This window comes from Homo sapiens, chromosome 3, assembly GCF_000001405.40.
Source record: "Homo sapiens chromosome 3, GRCh38.p14 Primary Assembly".
In the NCBI taxonomy this organism is placed as follows: domain Eukaryota; kingdom Metazoa; phylum Chordata; class Mammalia; order Primates; family Hominidae; genus Homo; species Homo sapiens.
The window spans coordinates 157240227-157254692 of NC_000003.12; the positions used below are offsets into that span (position 1 = coordinate 157240227).

Below are 14466 nucleotides of genomic sequence, written 5' to 3' on the forward strand. Positions count from 1 at the left end.
ACGTTCAGACCATAGCACAATATTTTGGTAGTCAGTGACTCACTTTTAGGGCATTATCCTTTTCCTTCCCATTTATTCTCCTACTCCGAAATATTCTTCATGCCTAACTCTGAATATTTAGTCATTATAGGGATTTTACTTAATATCAGGAGGTAACTATGGTCATGGTTTTTTTGTGCCATGAGAAGCTTGATCTTTTTCTCTGGCCCTGTGTAAATGGCTGAGGATTTAAAAAGCCATTTTCTCTGACCAGTTTATGCTTGTTCTCCTATTTGCCATTCAGTAAGTAAATGGCCTTTAACACAGACGTTTTGATTTTCAAACAATAATTAGGAAAGAAAGCACTTCATATGGGGGCTGAAGATTACAGGGAAATTGCACCATCTTCTTCCTTAGTACAACAATATGTTGCTAAACCAGCAAGAACAACTAGTTGCAATTTCTCCAAACCAACAATATTTTCTTTTCAGAATCCTACCTAAAAGTGAGATTCACCAAGAAAGTTTTGTGTTTTTGAGCAAGTCTAGGTTTTAATTTTTTTTGACTCATCTGCTTCTTTAATTGAAAACAAGACAAAACAAACATGGAGTAGAAGCTTTAATCAAGTGTGTTCTAACACGCAAACACTATGGAACCCACCTGAGTCCCACTTGGATCATTTCAAATGGCTCCATATTTTTCTGTTCCCAATTAAACTTCCTAGAATGTCTCACAGGAAGCTCACATTGATAAACTTTTTGAGTAATCCAGGAACTCTTAGAACCTGATAAAGTGAAAGGATTTGGCAGGAACGTTTCAGATATGAGGAAGATTTCTCTGCAGGGTATGTTTGTCTATTAATTGGATAGTATACCTGTCCTAACTATGAAGAAATTGGCTCCGACTTGGAGAATGACTGAAAAGTGGCTATTACTCATTGATGATTTTGGTGGGAGGAAAGTAATAGCTTGTGGACTGTTAGTTTTGTCATCATAACAAACTAGATACCCTGAAAAACCTCTCAATACAAAACACCTAGAAATGATGAATTAAATATAATACATAGTCTTTAAAATATTGAGCTCAAAGGAAACAGAAGAAACTCTCATACACCAGAAGTGGTGAGATGATGCTTATACTAGTCCCCAATCCTGTTTGAGGGTATTTGGTGATCTTGGCGATCAAGAGGTTTGGGTTTCTGACATGCTAGTACAATAGGCAAGGCCTTGGCCTATGCAAGGTGGGGAGGCAGAATCAAGGCTCTGCATAATGGCTAGGGCCCTCAAAAGGCTATGCTGCCAGAAAAAAGATGCTCAGGCAAAGGGAAATGTCAAGCAAAGTTGTCTGTTTCCCCTGGCCTCTGGGTAGAAAAGAATTCAGATTCTGCCCATACACAGCTTTGAGGTTTAATTTATACAATCTGAGTGGTCAGAAACTCCAAGTCAAGATATTAACATGAAATTGTTCCAGTTTGATAGCACGTCCGCCATCTGGCAGAACAATTAAAAAAAAAAAAAATCCTTTCCTGGCAGCCATGCGGACTCACCAAGGGCTCCTGGCCATGCCCTCTCCCAAGATTCTCCATAAAATTAGTTGGTTGCTTCTTGCCCTGAGGCAGCCCAGTGAAGTCTAGGGTGTGGTGATCCCATGTTGTTGATGGGGAAAAAGGGAGTGATGGGGTGCTTGAGGGCTTCTTAAGCCATAGTTCAAGCATAGCGAGTGCCCCCTCTTCTTCTGAAAGGGCCAGATACCTGGCCTCATCCTCTCCACAAAGAACTCTCTTGGGATCCTCAGGGGATCCAGGTTAGGGCAGAGCCCTAGGGCTCAGAGAGGGGGGTCAGTAATTAACCTGGGCCCTAGCACTGTAAAAGTGACAGTTTGATCTCCCCACTGTCCTTCTTCCCCTGCCCACCAGGGACAAGGCTTCCAGAAAGAGGGGACCACTGGGAAATTCTGCCTCTTGTTCAGATAAAGTTCTTCCCGCTGCAAGGCTCCGAGCTTCATTCTTCATCCTCAGATCTAGAATGGGATGGAGGGCAGTTAATTTACAAAAAAAATTATATAAAATAATTGTATGTAATATATATTATCAAAATAGCTCTCACAGCATAAATCTTATAGATAAACCTCACCAACATGAACTTACAAACCAAAATTATGAACACATGAAAAAATAAGCTACTAAGAGTAAGAAATTAAAACTAATAAGGAGCAAATGTGGCTGGGCGCAGTAGCTGATGTCTGTAATCCTAGCACTTTGGGAGGCTGAGGTGGGTGGGTCACTTGAGGTCAGGAGTTCAAGACAAGCCTGGCCAACATGGTGAAACCCCATCTCTACTAAAAATGCAAAAATTAGTCAGACGTGGTGATACATGCCTGTAGCCCCAGCTACTTGGGAGGCCGAGGCAAGAGAATCACTTGAACTTAGGAGATGTAAGTTGCAGTGAGCCAAGAACATGCCATTGCACCCAGCCTGGGCGACAGAGTGATATTCCATCTCAAAAAAAAAAAAAAAAAAAAAAGCGCAATGTGATTAGTGCTCCCCAAAAGTTCAGAAAATGAACATATTAAATGTAAGATATTTTAAGTAATTAAAACGGTAAAATATGGATTAAACAATAAGAGAAAGGAATAAGATACTATTAAAAGTACCTGAAATATTAAAAAAAGGAACCAAGTAAAAATTCTAGAAATGAAAATATAACCATTGAAATGAAAACTCAGTGTATGGGACAAACAGCAGGACACAGTTGGAGAAGGAATGAGTGAATTGGGTAACAAATCTAAGGAGATTCTGTAGAATGTAGTACAAAGAGATGAAAAGGTGAAAATATGAAAGATAGGATAAAACATATGGAAGGTAAGACGTGTAGAAGGTATTTCATTCAATTCCTAGGTATTTTACCCAAAAGAACTGAAAATATGTCACAAAGGAATTTGTACAATAATGTTTATAGTCACCTTACTAGCAATAGCCAAATACCAGAAATAATTAAAATGTCTATCTGCTGGAGAATGGATAAAGAGATTTTGGTATATTCATACAATGGAATTGTACTCAGCAGTAAAAAAGAATAAATTACTAATATACATAACCACATGGATGAATCTCAAAAACATTAAGTTAAGAGAAAGAAGCCAAACACAAAAAATTACATACTATATAATTCCATTTATGTATTTTTTTTATTTTTTTAATTTTGAGATGGAGTTTTACTTTGGCCAGGCTGGTCTCAAACTCCTGACCTCAGGTGATCCACCTGCCTCGGCCTCCCAAAGTGCTGGGATTACAGGCATGAGCCACCGTGCCCAGCCTCATTTATGTAACCTTACAGAATATGCCAGTCTAATCTATGTTGATTGCCTCTGTGGAGGGGCATGAGGAACTTTCTGAGATGAGTGTAATATTCTATATTTTGTTTTGGGTATTGATATCTTTGGCTTTTACAATTGTCAAAACTCATGAACTGAACATATGTAATATGAAATTATATTGTATGTAAACTATACCCTTCAAAAAAATTACAAAGTAAAAAGTAAAACAAAGAATAGAAACTTGTCTGGTGCAGTGGCTCACACCTGTAATCCCAGCACTTTGGGAGACTAAGGTGGGTGGATCGTTTGAGCCTAGGAGTTTGAGACCAGCCTGGGCAACATGGAGAAACCCCATCTCTACTAAAAATACAAAAATTAGTCATGTGTGCACGTGTGCCTATGGTTCCAGCCACTCAGGGGCTGAGGGAGGAGGATCACCTGAGCCTTGGGAGGTCGAGGCTGCAGGCTGCAGTTAGTCGTGATTGCGCCACTGCACTCCAGCCTGGGGGACAGAGTGTGATCCTGTCTCCAAAAAAAAAAAAAAAAAAAAAAGAAGAGAAACCAACTAAGGGAGACATGCCTGGAAAATGTAAAGAGCCCCTTAAAAATTGATGTGAAAAAAGAAACAACTTAAAAGAAGAATGTGCAAAAAAAATATAAAGAGGAATTTCAAAGGAGAGAAAATTTGTAGAGTCAATAAATACATGGAAAGGGGAAAGTAGCAGTAATCAGAGGAATACAGATTAAAACAATGCCACTTTGGCACCTATCAGATATAAAAAAAATTAAGTCTGAACCAAGTTCAAAATGCTGACAACAATGTAAACAATGGGCATTTCGATACACTGCAAGTGAGAGTTTAAATTGATAGAATCATTTTAGAGAATAACTTGGTAAATACTTGGTAAAGGTAAATTATGATCTAGCAATTCTACTCTCGTGTATACCCTAAGTCAGCAGTTCTGAGACTCTTTGGTCCCAGGAGCCTTTTAAACTTTAAAACATTTTTGAGGATACCAAAGAGCTTTTGGTTATGTGAGTTGTTTCTATTGATATTTACCATATTAGAAAATAAAATTGAGAAATTAAAAATACATTCATTAAGTCATTTAAAAGGCAGTAAGAAACTGATTACATATTAACATGAGTGATGTATTTTTATAAACTCATTATATTTTCCAAAACAAAAATTTTAGTGAGAAGAGTGGCATTATGTTACATTTCTGTAACTGTGCTTGGCTTAATACAAGACAGCTGGATTCTGTTTCTACATTCAGTCTATTGTGGTATACTGTTTTGATTGAAGTCCATAAAGAAAATAAAGATACACACAAATATTGATTTGGAAAAGAGAGGAGAATTTTAATGGCCTTTTCAGATAGTTGTGGCAATTCTTCTTTGATACTCTACCCAAAACTAACAAGTGGTAGTTTCTTAAATGTTAATTTGAAACCATATCAATGAATTTTTCATACTCTGTTAAATTAAAATGCATAGTTTATATTATACCGTGAGTGGATTTTTTACCCATGCATAATTTTGTAACATTTTGCATTGGTCATTTGGAAATTATTGGTTTACTGAATTACATAGATTTTCAAAATGTTGATACATTATACAATGTCAAAAATCACCACCCTTATCATTAGAGAAATCATGAAATATTGAGAAGCTGTAAGATATAAAAATCCAGGGTTGGATTCAAGTTTTCAAAATTTCTAATTTTTTTGAAAGCTCAAATTTTATCATCAACAACAATACAGTCAGCTTTCTTTGGAGTAGCAGGCTCACATCATTCACTTTTGAGAAAATGTCTGCCAAACCCCAAGAGTTTAATAATCATAGTCTCAATCATCCTCCTAAAAATAATGTTTAGTGAAAAAAGTAGTAGTTAATCTCACAACTCAATCACACAAATGCTTTTTCTTGAGATGACCATTGCACTTTGGCATGTAACAGAGTACTTTGTGCTGACTTCTTATTTTAATATAAAAAATATTAAATAGATGACTATGTAACAGTTGAAATTTAGTAAAATTAATATTCTTCAGTGATTTTTTTTAAAACCACAAGTGCATGGTGGTGAAGAATACAATGATTACTAGTATTGCTGGATGCTGCTGCCTTGATTCCTGCTAAGGTGCCAGCAGCATCAGTGCAAATGTTAACACGGTGAAAAAGATAAATGGTATTATTTTCTTCTTCTCATGAAAATGGTTTTGACCTCATGATTTGCTTGAAAGAGTCTTGGGCCCATGAGGGGTCTGTGGACCATACTTTGAGAATTGCTGACCAAATAACCATTTGACTTTGCACACAAAGAACCAGTATTTCCATAGCAACATTTTTTTTTTTTTGCCATTGCAAAGATTAGAAATAATCATCCCCTAGAAAGTGGATAAAAAATTGAATGATATTTGAACCTGAATCCGAATACCTAAAAACAATGGAATGATACAAAGGAATTATATACAGCACTGAAAATCAGTTAGACCTAGATGCAAACATGAGATGTGAAAACAGAACGATTCATGCTGTATGACACTACGTGAAGTTTAAATATATGCAAAACATACTATGTATTTTTAAAGCATAAAAATGGGTGGTAAGTGTGTATAGAAATATATTAGAATAATAATTAACAAATTCAGGATGGTAGTTACCTGTGTGAGATAGGGAAGGAATTACATTTGTGGAGGAGATACATAGAGGGCTTCAGATGCACATGTACTGCTTTATTTCATAGGCTGAGGGGTGGTTGTAAGGGGTTTATTATGTTATTTTCTATAGCTCTTTCTATTCTGAAGAATTTTGTAATAAACAGCAGCCTGTCTATAATCATATTCTTTCAAATACTTGCTTGTGAATTTAAGCAGTCATATAGATAAACTATTAGTATTGAAACTTTGGCATGTAGATATAAAGTCAGTGAATAACTTCACAGTAATGATGTAATTCTCCTTAATAACACACACACACACACACACACACACACACACACACACACAAATTCTGCTATAAAGGTCTCTTCATTTTCGTTACGTGCAATGCCTACTAAAACTCACTGTTTAAATGAAATGATGCTCCCAAGGCATCCATTCTCAATTACAGAAAGCATCTCTCAATACCCCTCTCAAGGTTGTAGGTCTGAGATTATTGTGTTGTGCCTCCACAGTGTTCCAGATCATCAATTTAGCCTCTGGATATTTTCAGCTTTCTCTGCCGACAGAGCTCTGTGTGCATCTGCTATTTTATTTATTTATTATTTTTGAGACAAAGTCTCACTCTGTTGCCCAGGCTGGAGTGATCAAGTGGCATGATCTCGGCTCACTGCAACCTCTACCTCCTGGGTTCAAGCAATTCTTCTGCCTCAGCCTCCCGAGTAGCTGGGATTACAGGTGCCCACGACCACACCCGGCTAATTTTTGTATTTTAGTAGAGAAGGGGTTTTGCCATGTTGGCCAGGGTGGTCTCAAACTCCTGACCTCAGGTGATCCACCCGCCTTGGCCTCCCAAAGTTCTGGGATTATAGGCATGAGCCATGGCGACTGGCCATGCTATTTAGTTTCATCTTCAGGAGGCTCTTTGCCCTCTTAAACTTTGTATCTGAAGTGGCCTTACTTTGCTCTGCTCCTGTCACTAGAACCCAGAAACCTCTGAACTTCCACGTATTTCCCCCGAGCCTGTCCTTTCTAGTGGTTTGAAATTTAAAACAAACTGGCTGGACTTCAGCTTAGTTAATGGTGGCAGAGAACAAAATAGACATAATTTTCATAATGACTTTTTCATTTTGGGGGACATCACATTTTTCACAGCAGCTTTTGGTTAAACAACAGAGGCAAAACCTTCACTACCTCCCTAACTTCCTGTTTTTCTGAAACTGATATCCTGCATTTGGAAATATATAAATAAATAATAGAGAATCCTGATTCCACTTGGATAAGCCTTGTTTGAAAGTTGAACAGTCTGTCCATTCCTCCACATTAAAATATATTCCTGACTCCATTGTGACTTACTGCACGCTGTCTGTTTGGGCCACATGGTTCTGAGCACCCACCCCAGTCACTTTTATTTTTTTCTATGTACTAGCATTGTACTAGTGGTTTTCCTGAGGAATGTTATTTTGAAACATTGTAACAATCAGTTTGTTTATAACAATCAGTCTGTTAACCCATGTTTTTTTTTTTAGTTCCTTGTTATTAGTTTAGTCTTCTGCAGTGCCCTTTGGCCCATCCCCTGGCCTTTCTACCCCTTCAAATTAGGCAGAAGGCATCCATTGCCTCAGAAAAAGGATGTTGAAAAGAAATCAGAAGTAACAGTAAACTGTAAGTTTCAAAAATCTATTCTGAAACTTACCTGTTAATACTTTGAGAAAAGTAAGATTAAGTCTCAAAGGTCAGGATTAAAATTTTTTGACTTTTATTTTTAGAGACAGGGTTCTGTTCTGTCACCCAGGCTATGGTGCAGTGGTACAGTCATTGCTTACTGCAACCTCAAATTCCTGGGCTAAAGTGATCTTCCCGCCTCAGCCTCCTGAGTAGCTGGAACTATAGGCAAGTGCCATTGTGTCTGGCTAATGGAAGTCAAAATTTCGAGGTTAAAAAATTCATAACTCTGGCTGGGCATGGTGGCTTACATTTGTAATCCCAGCACTTTGGGAGGCCAAGGTGGGAGGGTTGCTTGAGGCCAGAAGTTTGAGGCTGCAGTTAGTTAGAATTGTGCCACTTCACTCCAGCCTGGGCAACAGAGTAAGACCCCGTCTCTCTAAAAATAAAACGAAATAAAATAAAAAAATAAAAAAATTCATAACTCTGAAGAACTAGATTATGAATCTTGTGGCATAAATAATACATTTGGAAGAATACTTGTTGAGAAGAGAAACTAGAAAAAACCTGAATAAATGGAGAATATTCTGAGTTTGACTGAGTTTATCCTGAATCAATGAACACTGCTTTTTTTGCTCTCAAGTGAAATGGGATCCAGCACTCAAGCAATAAATTAATTAAAACATAAGGAAATAAAGAAAATTATATTATTTGTATGTTTGAATTTGTAACTAGGGTTTGCACCCTTACATATCCTTCTGAAACATGCTGTTGCACTTATGGAGAGATATTGAAGCTGTTGTTACTATATTACAGTGTTCTCTTTGTAAGGCCGATAGGAAAAAAATTCTTGGGTCTCATTGTTGAGAGAGCTTTTCTTCCTCTGGGCAACTGGTTTATTTTTAGCCTGGGGAAACTCTGACTCATGAATCTGATTGAATGCCTCCCTTAACTGGCTGCATGAAAGCATGGTGTCAACTCTGAACGCTGTCTTTTGCTGGGATCGAGTTTCATCTACTTACCTTATCCCAGTGACTATTCTTCTTCCCACTTTGTTTTCCTTTTGCCTTTATGTCTTTACTTACTCTCAATCTGTTTGGACTTCCTGGGAAGCAGACTCTGAGGCAGTGTTTAAGGCGCAGGATGCCTATTAAGGAGCACCTTGGGGACCAACACCTGCAGAAGGGAGTGGAGAGGAATCAGTAAGGGGCAGGTGGAGAAACTGAGCTTCAGTGTCGCCCCAGTGATAGTCTCAACTGACCATGTGGAGAGCTCTGCAGGTAGAATGGTCCCTCAGAGTTGTCTCAACTTGGGCCTGAATGTCCAGGTCTTTACACTCTCCCATTAACTGTTCACTAGATGTCAGGTGCCCCAGGCATGACCTTGGCCAGGAGGCAGTCCTTGAGGGGAATGGCAGCTGAAGGCTGTCTGCCAACAGCAGTCCCAGCAGCTGGGGCACCAGGTCCTTCAGTGAGGGATGTTGGTGATGCATCAGTGCCCACCATACTTACTTTAAAAAATCTAGTATATATTTCTACAAGAATTTGGAACAAAAACACCAATAAAATAAGTAATTAAAGTTAAGTGACTCTTGTTCTCATCCTTGCCCATTTATGTTGTCTCATCTTAAGTGTGATCCTGAGTCTTGGCATATGTCATTTCTCTTTTTTGACTGTGAGAGTGTGAAAGGCGAGGTCTAAAATATAAGAAAATTATATTCTTCCTTCAACATCCAGCATATCATCAACTCTTCAGTGGAGGTTTAGTTGACTCCCCAGGCAGAGCCAGCAGCCCCCTCCTCTGTCTCCATCATGCCCCCACATCACAGTGTTGTGATCTCCACACATCTGTTTCTTTCATGGGCAAGATGTCCCTCAAACCTGATCCCTTTTGAATGCTCCTTTTATCATGAATGGAGCTACCGCCAACCCACGGGTGCCGGGATTCTGGAGACAATTCCCGTCAATCACCAAGTCCTGCAATTTGCATTTCTAAAGTCTCTCTCTAACCCTCTATTTCTCTCCATTTCCAGTGCTGCTACTTTCTTTCAAGCTTTCGTTATACCTCTCACCTGGACTATTGTAATAGCCTTCTATTTTTCTCTCAGTTTCTATTATTGCTTTCTCAGCAAACCATTCTCTACACAGCAGGTAGAACCATCTTACGGAATTGCAGATCTAATCATACCATCCCTGTTTTAAACCCAACAGTAGCTCTCCCACAGCCTTCATGACTTGCCCACCTCCCAGCCTCACCACTCTCATCCACCACACTAGCCTGTTTTGGTTCCTCTAATGTGCTACATGCCTTTTCTCTCCAAGGTCTTCTCACATTCAGTTCTTCCTGGTCTGCTTTTCTTCTACCTCTCCCTTTGACTAGTAATTTCCTGTTCATCTTTCAGATCTCAGGCATATGTCTCTTTGTCCAGGAAGCTGTCCCTAACTTCCTAATTAGATCAGACCTCTCCTTTCACAATCTCATATCAGTTGTGCTTCTTTGTAGGATAGGTCGCATGGCAATTTCATAATTAAGATAATACTTTAACATTTTTCTCTTCTACTAGGATACGTATCCCACAAAGTTTGAGACATCTTGGTCACCTCAGCATTTCTAATGCCCAGCACAGGTCCTGCACATAGGAGATGTTTTATGTATGGATTTACTTATTAAATAAAATATACTTATTGTGTTGGTCCATTTGGGCTGCAATAACAAACTGTCTTAGATTGGGTAACTTATAAACAACAGAAATTTATTTCTCACAGTTCTGGAGGCCGAGAAGTCCAACATCAGGGTGCTGGTAGATTTGCTGTCTGGTGAGGGCTTGTTCCTCAGAGCTGGCGCCTTCTAGCTGTGTCTTCACGTTGGGAAGGACAAACAAGCTCCTTTTGGCCTCTTTTATAAGGGCACTAATCCCATTCATGAGGGCAGAACCCTCATTATCTAATCACCTCCTAGAGGCCCCACTTCTTAATACCACCACATTGGTATTGACATATACTACTACCTAATGGTTTTAACATATAAATTTGGGAAGGGGGGTCACAAACATTCAGATCATAACATTTATTTACTGAGTTTGTTAAAGGCATGGACAATTTATTTATCATTTTTGAGTCCCCATGCCCTAGTATATGTTGGATGCTCAGTAAATGGTCTCTCCTTTCCTTCCTTCCTTCCTTCTCTCTCTTTCTTTCTTCTTTCTTTCTTTCTCTTTCTTTCTCTTCTTTCTTTCTTTCTTTCCTTTCTTCTTTCCTTCTTTCTTTTCTTTCTCTTTCTTTCCTTTCCTTTCTTTCTTTCCTTCTCTCTTTCTTTCTCTCTCTTTTTCTCCTTTCTTCCCTTCCCTCCGTCCCTCCCTCCCTCCCTCCCTCCCTTCCTTCCTTCCTTCTTTCCTTCCTTCTTTCTCTTGCTATGTTGCCCAGGCTGGAGTGCAGTGGTTATTCACAGGCACAATCATACTGCACTATATCCTTGAACTACTGGGCTGAAGTGATCTTCCTACCTCAGCCTCCTGAGTAGCTAGGACTACAGGCATGTGCCACCATGCCTGGCTAATAAGTATTTGTTGAATGAATGTTTGAATCAAACTATGTAAAAGGTTGTCTTGGGGAAGAGGGAGCAGACATTATGTCTGGCTGCAGGAGGGAGAACCTGGACTAAAGGTTAGAAATGATGGAACGGCAGAATTTTTCAGAAAATAATTATATGGTATGAATAACCTAATGGGAATTATATTTGAACATTTCTATATTGTTGGGTTCTGAATGATCAGACGATTATGAATAATTTTTATAATTTTAGTAGTTTTTGGTATTTTCTGCAATAAACGTTTTCATAAACAGAAAAAATTTATTTTAAAAAGATGTGAACTGATGATAAATTAATGAGTTCTCTATCCCTAGAAGGGTTTGCGCGGTTGGGAATGCCACCTGCCAATGATGACAAGAAAGGGACTTCTCCATGGGGTGGAGAGGTTTGGCCTGGCAAGTGTTAAGATTCTTCCAACTCCAATAGCCTGTGATACTGTTAACTGAATGATAAATGCCAAATCTCCTTGCTTAGAAGAACTTGGCCTAGTTTATTTGGCTGCCTCACATTCTGCTAGTGGCTTCGTTACATTGGAACCTTACTGTGACACTATTGGCTACAGTGGAATTTGATTTGTATTTACCTGAGGATGGTACAACTGCAGGATTTCTGGAGATGACAGTATTATAGTGATAACAAAAACATGAATATATAGGTAAGAGTTGTTTATGTGGAAAATTACATGATATCCCTCCATGAAGAGTTTGGGGGAGTCGTGATGAAAATGTTCTCAAATCAACACATACCCTTAGTATTATGGTTAATTTTCCAAAACAGGCATTGCCAAACTGTGGTTTTGGCTAAATTTTAAAAATGGACCTTCTGATTTTTGTGTTTATGAGCTAGTTTGGCAAACAGAATCATTGTTTCTCTCTCTTAAGAGAAATGACATTTAGACTATTTCCTCATATAGCAATAGCTCTGAATTAAGAGGGAACAGAACACTCCCAAAGGAAATCTGGTGTATAGAAGTGGATCTCCGTTAAGAATAGTGGAACACACATAAGAGTTTCTTCTGATTACATGAAGTGCCAGCAGAGAGAGAGAGAGAGGAGAGGGGGAGAGGGAGAGAGAGAGAGAGAGAGAGAGAGAGAGAGAGAGAGAGAGAGAGAGAGAGAGGACAGATATAAATAGAATATAAGATAATGAAGTAATAGGATTGATTTCTACAAAGCACATGTGAAAACAATAGTTCTGTTGTCATAATACCTGTGTGATAGTAAATGTGTGTTTATATATATGTGTGTGTGTGTCTTATAGATATTCTACTTAATGTTAGTGAAATGGTAGTTAAAAATAAAACAAGGCAAAGAATAATTCTAGAATAATTCAAAAATGGAAAAATTAGAATTTACTTTTATTAGCACCCACTCCCCCTTAATTTCCAGTGTGGTCTCATGGAGCACTGTTATTCCTAGGCATGCATTAGCCTACCATGTGTTTGAATACTTTACATTTTTACATTATTTGAAAATTTTATAACTCTTCTAGATTCTCAGTACCAAAATGAATTCTAATCCTTTTATTGCTTGAAAGACAGAAAAAATGCATTTTTAAATTTGATGTAAGATTTTCAAAGATTTGTCCATAAAGTCATAAATAAGCTATGTAAACACAATGCATCTGATTATCATTTTATAGAAAGTTCAAAGATTTCCATCCCCCCTGCTCTCAGAAAGTTTTTCTTTGAAGCAGACAAATTCAATAGTACTGGGGTGCAGGGGCAAGGGGCATGAGAAGAATGTTCTTGTGGAATGTCCTCTGCCAAGGCTGGGGTTCTCATGGCGGGACCCGGGAGCTAAGGTTATCATCAGAGCTGGTTGCCTGTTGTGCTTAGCACGTGGCTATAGGGCCTTGCATAACCAGGGACTAGAAGGACATTTATGAGGAGGTGTACCTGTTTCATCAAAGAACATTTAACAGAACCCCCCGCCCCCCCGCCGCCACTTCGCCTAGGCAAGTACCTGTAAAAATCAAGCCATAAGGGTGGTCTTGCTCTTCTGAAGTTCGTGCAACCCTCTGCCCATTCCACTCACTCTGCTCTGTGCCTTTCTCTGCTCTTCCCTGCTTCTCCAACTTCCGACTTGACTCTAGGCCTTGCCTTTCTACTCCTGTCTTTGGTATGGTTGACTTTGAAGGTGTCATCTGAAAATGCTCCTCCTACTTGATCTGGAATTCCTCCTCAGACACCATTCTAAGTTCACCTCTAGGGTCCCCAATCTGTGATAGTGGGTAAAAGACATATCATATTTTTATGGTTTTGGGTTTTATATTTAAATCTTTAATCCATCTTTGGTTAATTGTTGTATATGGGGTAAGGAAGGGGTCCAGTTTCAATTTTCTGCATGTGGCTAGCCAGTTATCCCAGCACAATTTATTGAATAGGGAATCCTTTGTCCATTGCTTGTTTTTGTCAGGTTAGTTGAAGATCAGATAGTTGTAGGCGTGCGGTCTTATTTCTGGGTTCTCTATTTGGCTCTGTTGGTCTATGTGTCTGTTTTTGTACAACTATCATACTGTTTTGGTTACTGTATCCCTGTAGTATAGTTTGAAGTCAGGTAGCATGATGCTGCCAGCTTTGTTCTTTTTGCTTAGGATTGCCTTGGCTATTTAAAATCTTTTTTGGTTACATATGAATTTTAAAATAGTTTTCTTTAGTTGCGAGAATGTCAGCAGCAGTTTAATAGGAATAGCATTGAATCTACAAATTGCTTTGGGCAGTATGGCCATTTTCATGATATTGATTTTTCCTATCCATGAGCATGGAATGTTTTTCCATTTGTTTGTGTCATTTCTGGTTTCTTTGAACAGTGGTTTGTAGCTCTCCTTGTAGAGATCTTTTATCTCCCTAGCTAGCTGTATTCCTAGGTATTTTATTCTTTTTGTGGCAATTGTGAATGGGAGTTTGTTCCTGATTTGGCTCTTGGCTTGACTGTTGAATGCTAGTAATTTTTGCACATTGATTTTGTATCCTGATACTTTGCTGAAGGTGTTTGTCAGCTTAAGAATCTATTGGGATGAGACTATGGGGTTTTCTAGGCACTATCATTTAGGACATAGGCACAGGCAAAGATTTCATGATGAAGATGCTAAAAGCAATTGCAACAAAATCAAAAATTGACAAATGGGATCTAATTATACTAAAGAGCTTCTGCATGGGAAAAGAAACTAACAACAGAGTAAACAGACAACCTACTGAATGGGAGAAAATTTTTGCAAACTACGCACCCAACAAAGGTCTAATATCCAGCATCTATAA

The 14466-nt window shown here is 38.6% G+C and overlaps 2 long non-coding RNA genes across 2 annotated transcripts in view, besides 1 other annotated feature; one reads left to right on the top strand and one right to left on the bottom strand.

The window, feature by feature from the left end:
- The window catches only part of LOC101928236 (uncharacterized), a 220247-nt gene that overhangs the window by 66527 nt on the left and 139254 nt on the right, over positions 1 to 14466 (top strand). The window lies entirely within an intron of this gene.
- On the bottom strand, positions 585 to 10824 carry LOC105374179 (uncharacterized). The gene is made up of 3 exons (XR_007096142.1): positions 10383 to 10824; positions 8705 to 8795; positions 585 to 1998 (listed from the first exon to the last, which is right to left on the bottom strand). It is a non-coding gene; the product is annotated as an uncharacterized LOC105374179 (long non-coding RNA).
- Positions 6940 to 12872: an enhancer, noted in NCBI's record as "VISTA enhancer hs2571". NCBI's record gives its function as "enhancer in: midbrain (mesencephalon)[4/5] | heart[4/5]" and the evidence as "EXISTENCE:transgenic organism evidence [ECO:0001131][PMID:17130149]".